Source organism: Homo sapiens, chromosome 2, assembly GCF_000001405.40.
Source record: "Homo sapiens chromosome 2, GRCh38.p14 Primary Assembly".
Classification (NCBI taxonomy): Eukaryota; Metazoa; Chordata; class Mammalia; order Primates; family Hominidae; genus Homo; species Homo sapiens.
Window position 1 is genome coordinate 241,804,288 of NC_000002.12, and position 3,106 is coordinate 241,807,393.

At 71.1% G+C, this 3,106-nt stretch overlaps 35 annotated features.

The window, feature by feature from the left end:
* Positions 1-3,106: part of a meiotic recombination region, noted in NCBI's record as "meiotic double-strand break mapped by DNA meiotic recombinase 1 chromatin immunoprecipitation followed by single-stranded DNA enrichment and sequencing in the germ cells of some male individuals with the PRDM9 A/A, PRDM9 A/B and PRDM9 A/C genotypes", that runs on past both edges of the window. NCBI's record gives the evidence for it as "EXISTENCE:chromatin immunoprecipitation-seq evidence [ECO:0000229][PMID:25395542]".
* Positions 876-3,106: part of a repeat instability region, noted in NCBI's record as "repeat instability region; both inter-allelic and intra-allelic events contribute to instability of this region", that runs on past the window's edge. NCBI's record gives the evidence for it as "EXISTENCE:polymerase chain reaction evidence [ECO:0000082][PMID:9628885]".
* Positions 896-3,106: part of a minisatellite, noted in NCBI's record as "CEB1 (D2S90) VNTR, 39 nucleotide repeat", that runs on past the window's edge.
* Positions 959-971: a nucleotide motif, noted in NCBI's record as "nucleotide motif; similarity to the predicted 13-mer PRDM9 A binding motif (LD hotspot motif), CCNCCNTNNCCNC". NCBI's record gives the evidence for it as "COORDINATES:motif similarity evidence [ECO:0000028][PMID:19165926]".
* Positions 1,154-1,166: a nucleotide motif, noted in NCBI's record as "nucleotide motif; similarity to the predicted 13-mer PRDM9 A binding motif (LD hotspot motif), CCNCCNTNNCCNC". NCBI's record gives the evidence for it as "COORDINATES:motif similarity evidence [ECO:0000028][PMID:19165926]".
* Positions 1,193-1,205: a nucleotide motif, noted in NCBI's record as "nucleotide motif; similarity to the predicted 13-mer PRDM9 A binding motif (LD hotspot motif), CCNCCNTNNCCNC". NCBI's record gives the evidence for it as "COORDINATES:motif similarity evidence [ECO:0000028][PMID:19165926]".
* Positions 1,232-1,244: a nucleotide motif, noted in NCBI's record as "nucleotide motif; similarity to the predicted 13-mer PRDM9 A binding motif (LD hotspot motif), CCNCCNTNNCCNC". NCBI's record gives the evidence for it as "COORDINATES:motif similarity evidence [ECO:0000028][PMID:19165926]".
* Positions 1,267-1,279: a nucleotide motif, noted in NCBI's record as "nucleotide motif; similarity to the predicted 13-mer PRDM9 A binding motif (LD hotspot motif), CCNCCNTNNCCNC". NCBI's record gives the evidence for it as "COORDINATES:motif similarity evidence [ECO:0000028][PMID:19165926]".
* Positions 1,306-1,318: a nucleotide motif, noted in NCBI's record as "nucleotide motif; similarity to the predicted 13-mer PRDM9 A binding motif (LD hotspot motif), CCNCCNTNNCCNC". NCBI's record gives the evidence for it as "COORDINATES:motif similarity evidence [ECO:0000028][PMID:19165926]".
* Positions 1,345-1,357: a nucleotide motif, noted in NCBI's record as "nucleotide motif; similarity to the predicted 13-mer PRDM9 A binding motif (LD hotspot motif), CCNCCNTNNCCNC". NCBI's record gives the evidence for it as "COORDINATES:motif similarity evidence [ECO:0000028][PMID:19165926]".
* Positions 1,380-1,392: a nucleotide motif, noted in NCBI's record as "nucleotide motif; similarity to the predicted 13-mer PRDM9 A binding motif (LD hotspot motif), CCNCCNTNNCCNC". NCBI's record gives the evidence for it as "COORDINATES:motif similarity evidence [ECO:0000028][PMID:19165926]".
* Positions 1,419-1,431: a nucleotide motif, noted in NCBI's record as "nucleotide motif; similarity to the predicted 13-mer PRDM9 A binding motif (LD hotspot motif), CCNCCNTNNCCNC". NCBI's record gives the evidence for it as "COORDINATES:motif similarity evidence [ECO:0000028][PMID:19165926]".
* Positions 1,493-1,505: a nucleotide motif, noted in NCBI's record as "nucleotide motif; similarity to the predicted 13-mer PRDM9 A binding motif (LD hotspot motif), CCNCCNTNNCCNC". NCBI's record gives the evidence for it as "COORDINATES:motif similarity evidence [ECO:0000028][PMID:19165926]".
* Positions 1,532-1,544: a nucleotide motif, noted in NCBI's record as "nucleotide motif; similarity to the predicted 13-mer PRDM9 A binding motif (LD hotspot motif), CCNCCNTNNCCNC". NCBI's record gives the evidence for it as "COORDINATES:motif similarity evidence [ECO:0000028][PMID:19165926]".
* Positions 1,571-1,583: a nucleotide motif, noted in NCBI's record as "nucleotide motif; similarity to the predicted 13-mer PRDM9 A binding motif (LD hotspot motif), CCNCCNTNNCCNC". NCBI's record gives the evidence for it as "COORDINATES:motif similarity evidence [ECO:0000028][PMID:19165926]".
* Positions 1,610-1,622: a nucleotide motif, noted in NCBI's record as "nucleotide motif; similarity to the predicted 13-mer PRDM9 A binding motif (LD hotspot motif), CCNCCNTNNCCNC". NCBI's record gives the evidence for it as "COORDINATES:motif similarity evidence [ECO:0000028][PMID:19165926]".
* Positions 1,677-1,689: a nucleotide motif, noted in NCBI's record as "nucleotide motif; similarity to the predicted 13-mer PRDM9 A binding motif (LD hotspot motif), CCNCCNTNNCCNC". NCBI's record gives the evidence for it as "COORDINATES:motif similarity evidence [ECO:0000028][PMID:19165926]".
* Positions 1,713-1,725: a nucleotide motif, noted in NCBI's record as "nucleotide motif; similarity to the predicted 13-mer PRDM9 A binding motif (LD hotspot motif), CCNCCNTNNCCNC". NCBI's record gives the evidence for it as "COORDINATES:motif similarity evidence [ECO:0000028][PMID:19165926]".
* Positions 1,830-1,842: a nucleotide motif, noted in NCBI's record as "nucleotide motif; similarity to the predicted 13-mer PRDM9 A binding motif (LD hotspot motif), CCNCCNTNNCCNC". NCBI's record gives the evidence for it as "COORDINATES:motif similarity evidence [ECO:0000028][PMID:19165926]".
* Positions 1,865-1,877: a nucleotide motif, noted in NCBI's record as "nucleotide motif; similarity to the predicted 13-mer PRDM9 A binding motif (LD hotspot motif), CCNCCNTNNCCNC". NCBI's record gives the evidence for it as "COORDINATES:motif similarity evidence [ECO:0000028][PMID:19165926]".
* Positions 1,900-1,912: a nucleotide motif, noted in NCBI's record as "nucleotide motif; similarity to the predicted 13-mer PRDM9 A binding motif (LD hotspot motif), CCNCCNTNNCCNC". NCBI's record gives the evidence for it as "COORDINATES:motif similarity evidence [ECO:0000028][PMID:19165926]".
* Positions 1,935-1,947: a nucleotide motif, noted in NCBI's record as "nucleotide motif; similarity to the predicted 13-mer PRDM9 A binding motif (LD hotspot motif), CCNCCNTNNCCNC". NCBI's record gives the evidence for it as "COORDINATES:motif similarity evidence [ECO:0000028][PMID:19165926]".
* Positions 2,092-2,104: a nucleotide motif, noted in NCBI's record as "nucleotide motif; similarity to the predicted 13-mer PRDM9 A binding motif (LD hotspot motif), CCNCCNTNNCCNC". NCBI's record gives the evidence for it as "COORDINATES:motif similarity evidence [ECO:0000028][PMID:19165926]".
* Positions 2,169-2,181: a nucleotide motif, noted in NCBI's record as "nucleotide motif; similarity to the predicted 13-mer PRDM9 A binding motif (LD hotspot motif), CCNCCNTNNCCNC". NCBI's record gives the evidence for it as "COORDINATES:motif similarity evidence [ECO:0000028][PMID:19165926]".
* Positions 2,208-2,220: a nucleotide motif, noted in NCBI's record as "nucleotide motif; similarity to the predicted 13-mer PRDM9 A binding motif (LD hotspot motif), CCNCCNTNNCCNC". NCBI's record gives the evidence for it as "COORDINATES:motif similarity evidence [ECO:0000028][PMID:19165926]".
* Positions 2,243-2,255: a nucleotide motif, noted in NCBI's record as "nucleotide motif; similarity to the predicted 13-mer PRDM9 A binding motif (LD hotspot motif), CCNCCNTNNCCNC". NCBI's record gives the evidence for it as "COORDINATES:motif similarity evidence [ECO:0000028][PMID:19165926]".
* Positions 2,356-2,368: a nucleotide motif, noted in NCBI's record as "nucleotide motif; similarity to the predicted 13-mer PRDM9 A binding motif (LD hotspot motif), CCNCCNTNNCCNC". NCBI's record gives the evidence for it as "COORDINATES:motif similarity evidence [ECO:0000028][PMID:19165926]".
* Positions 2,395-2,407: a nucleotide motif, noted in NCBI's record as "nucleotide motif; similarity to the predicted 13-mer PRDM9 A binding motif (LD hotspot motif), CCNCCNTNNCCNC". NCBI's record gives the evidence for it as "COORDINATES:motif similarity evidence [ECO:0000028][PMID:19165926]".
* Positions 2,469-2,481: a nucleotide motif, noted in NCBI's record as "nucleotide motif; similarity to the predicted 13-mer PRDM9 A binding motif (LD hotspot motif), CCNCCNTNNCCNC". NCBI's record gives the evidence for it as "COORDINATES:motif similarity evidence [ECO:0000028][PMID:19165926]".
* Positions 2,508-2,520: a nucleotide motif, noted in NCBI's record as "nucleotide motif; similarity to the predicted 13-mer PRDM9 A binding motif (LD hotspot motif), CCNCCNTNNCCNC". NCBI's record gives the evidence for it as "COORDINATES:motif similarity evidence [ECO:0000028][PMID:19165926]".
* Positions 2,699-2,711: a nucleotide motif, noted in NCBI's record as "nucleotide motif; similarity to the predicted 13-mer PRDM9 A binding motif (LD hotspot motif), CCNCCNTNNCCNC". NCBI's record gives the evidence for it as "COORDINATES:motif similarity evidence [ECO:0000028][PMID:19165926]".
* Positions 2,734-2,746: a nucleotide motif, noted in NCBI's record as "nucleotide motif; similarity to the predicted 13-mer PRDM9 A binding motif (LD hotspot motif), CCNCCNTNNCCNC". NCBI's record gives the evidence for it as "COORDINATES:motif similarity evidence [ECO:0000028][PMID:19165926]".
* Positions 2,773-2,785: a nucleotide motif, noted in NCBI's record as "nucleotide motif; similarity to the predicted 13-mer PRDM9 A binding motif (LD hotspot motif), CCNCCNTNNCCNC". NCBI's record gives the evidence for it as "COORDINATES:motif similarity evidence [ECO:0000028][PMID:19165926]".
* Positions 2,812-2,824: a nucleotide motif, noted in NCBI's record as "nucleotide motif; similarity to the predicted 13-mer PRDM9 A binding motif (LD hotspot motif), CCNCCNTNNCCNC". NCBI's record gives the evidence for it as "COORDINATES:motif similarity evidence [ECO:0000028][PMID:19165926]".
* Positions 2,929-2,941: a nucleotide motif, noted in NCBI's record as "nucleotide motif; similarity to the predicted 13-mer PRDM9 A binding motif (LD hotspot motif), CCNCCNTNNCCNC". NCBI's record gives the evidence for it as "COORDINATES:motif similarity evidence [ECO:0000028][PMID:19165926]".

Here is a 3,106-nt window from a genome sequence, read left to right on the forward strand (position 1 = left end):
GGCTCTAAAATGAAGAGGGCGGAGACCCCAGTGAAGAGCACCCCCCGCAATCCGCGCAGATCCCTCCCAGAGAAGGCCCTGAGCCCAGGCGGCAGCCACCCGCCCCCCTTCCGAGGCTGTGTCTCTGTTTAGAACTGAACACGAGGGTGGGGAGTGGGGGATGCTGGACCACAGGGCAGCACCTGCCCGGCAGGATGCGCGTGCCTGTGAGCCCCGGGACTCCCCAGGGTCCTGGGCACTGGGGCTGTGGATCCTCGGAGGAACTCAGAGTGGTTCCCCTGAATTTCCCGGCCCTGGCGACGAGGTGCTGGTCCCAGAGACAGGTGCAGGCACAGGCAGTGCCACAAAGACCGGCCCGGGAGCGGGGCAGGGGCCAGGGCTCAGCCGCTCCCGAACAGCTCCACAGCTTTCGCTGCAGGAGGTTTGGTTCTGATGGAAGGATGTTTTCTACAGAGAGATGGCACAACTGCTCACAAGACCAGGGTTCTAGCCGGAGCCCAGGTCGAGCTCAGCTCCACGACCCCTGCTGGTCAGCCCCTGATGCCTCGTGAAGGAGAGGAGTCTCACTTGCCAAAGGAGGCTGGAGTGGTTGGGGGTACACACACCCTTGGTTGCCTTGGAGACCGTGTTGGGTGTGGTGCCAGAGGGCAGCTGTGGGTACCCCTCTTTGTCATTCACAGGGAGGGACAGAGCCTCCCTGCCTGGCAGGACGTGATCCCTGGCTGCCAGGGGCTCAGCGGGTAAAGGGGGTGCACTCGCCGGGACCAGCCGATGCCTGGGGCACCCAGGAAACGCAGCTACTCTGCAGCATGCTCAGCCTGGAGGAGTTGCAGGAAGAGTGAATTTTCAGTGAGAGTCGGCCGTGAAGAATGGCAGGAGCTCTGCTGAGTCAGAGTCAGCCAGGGACGTCTGCAGGCCACCTTCCCTCCCCCTCAACCCAGGGACCTCCGCAGGCCACCCTCCCTCCCCCCTCAGCCCAGGGACCTCCGCAGGCCACCTTCCCTCCCCCCTCAGCCCAGGGACCTCCGCAGGCCACCTTCCCTCCCCCCTCAGCCCAGGAACCTCCGCAGGCCACCTTCCCTCCCCCCTCAGCCCAGGGACCTCCGCAGGCCACCTTCCCTCCCCCCTCAGCCCAGGGACCTCCGCAGGCCACCCTCCCTCCCCCCTCAGCCCAGGGACCTCCGCAGGCCACCCTCCCTCCCCCCTCAGCCCAGGGACCTCCGCAGGCCACCCTCCCTCCCCCCTCAGCCCAGGGACCTCCGCAGGCCACCCTCCCCCCTCAGCCCAGGAACCTCCGCAGGCCACCCTCCCTCCCCCCTCAGCCCAGGAACCTCCGCAGGCCACCCTCCCTCCCCCCTCAGCCCAGGGACCTCCGCAGGCCACCCTCCCCCCTCAGCCCAGGAACCTCCGCAGGCCACCCTCCCTCCCCCCTCAGCCCAGGAACCTCCGCAGGCCACCTTCCCTCCCCCCTCAGCCCAGGGACCTCCGCAGGCCACCCTCCCCCCTCAGCCCAGGAACCTCCGCAGGCCACCCTCCCTCCCCCCTCAGCCCAGGAACCTCCGCAGGCCACCCTCCCTCCCCCCTCAGCCCAGGAACCTCCGCAGGCCACCCTCCCTCCCCCCTCAGCCCAGGAACCTCCGCAGACCACCTTCCCTCCCCCCTCAGCCCAGGGACCTCCTCCCTCCCCCCTCAGCCCAAGGGACCTAGGCAGGCCACCCTCCCCCCTCAGCCCAGGAACCTCCGCAGGCCACCTTCCCTCCCCCCTCAGCCCAGGGACCTCCGCAGGCCACCTTCCCTCCCCCCTCAGCCCAGGGACCTCCGCAGGCCACCCTCCCTCCCCCCTCAGCCCAGGGACCTCCGCAGGCCACCCTCCCCCCTCAGCCCAGGGACCTCCGCAGGCCACCCTCCCCCCTCAGCCCAGGAACCTCCGCAGGCCACCCTCCCCCCTCAGCCCAGGAACCTCCGCAGGCCACCTTCCCTCCCCCCTCAGCCCAGGGACCTCCGCAGGCCACCTTCCCTCCCCCCTCAGCCCAGGGAACCTCCGCAGGCCACCTTCCCTCCCCCCTCAGCCCAGGGACCTCCGCAGGCCACCCTCCCTCCCCCCTCAGCCCAGGGACCTCTGCAGGCCACCCTCCCTCCCCCTCAGCCCAGGGACCTCCGCAGGCCACCCTCCCTCCCCCCTCAGCCCAGGGACCTCTGCAGGCCACCCTCCCTCCCCCCTCAGCCCAGGGACCTCCGCAGGCCACCCTCCCCCCTCAGCCCAGGAACCTCCGCAGGCCACCTTCCCTCCCCCCTCAGCCCAGGGACCTCCGCAGGCCACCTTCCCTCCCCCCTCAGCCCAGGGACCTCCGCAGGCCACCCTCCCCCCTCAGCCCAGGAACCTCCGCAGGCCACCCTCCCTCCCCCCTCAGCCCAGGAACCTCCGCAGGCCACCTTCCCTCCCCCCTCAGCCCAGGGACCTCCGCAGGCCACCCTCCCCCCTCAGCCCAGGAACCTCCGCAGGCCACCCTCCCTCCCCCCTCAGCCCAGGGACCTCCGCAGGCCACCTTCCCTCCCCCCTCAGCCCAGGGACCTCCGCAGGCCACCTTCCCTCCCCCCTCAGCCCAGGGACCTCCGCAGGCCACCTTCCCTCCCCCCTCAGCCCAGGAACCTCCGCAGGCCACCTTCCCTCCCCCCTCAGCCCAGGGACCTCCGCAGGCCACCCTCCCCCCTCAGCCCAGGAACCTCCGCAGGCCACCCTCCCCCCTCAGCCCAGGAACCTCCGCAGGCCACCCTCCCTCCCCCCTCAGCCCAGGAACCTCCGCAGGCCACCCTCCCTCCCCCCTCAGCCCAGGAACCTCCGCAGGCCACCTTCCCTCCCCCCTCAGCCCAGGGACCTCCGCAGGCCACCTTCCCTCCCCCCTCAGCCCAGGAACCTCCGCAGGCCACCCTCCCTCCCCCCTCAGCCCAGGAACCTCCGCAGGCCACCTTCCCTCCCCCCTCAGCCCAGGAACCTCCGCAGGCCACCTTCCCTCCCGCCTCAGCCCAGGGACCTCCGCAGGCCACCTTCCCTCCCCCCTCAGCCCAGGAACCTCCGCAGGCCAGCTTCCCTCCCCCCTCACGCCAG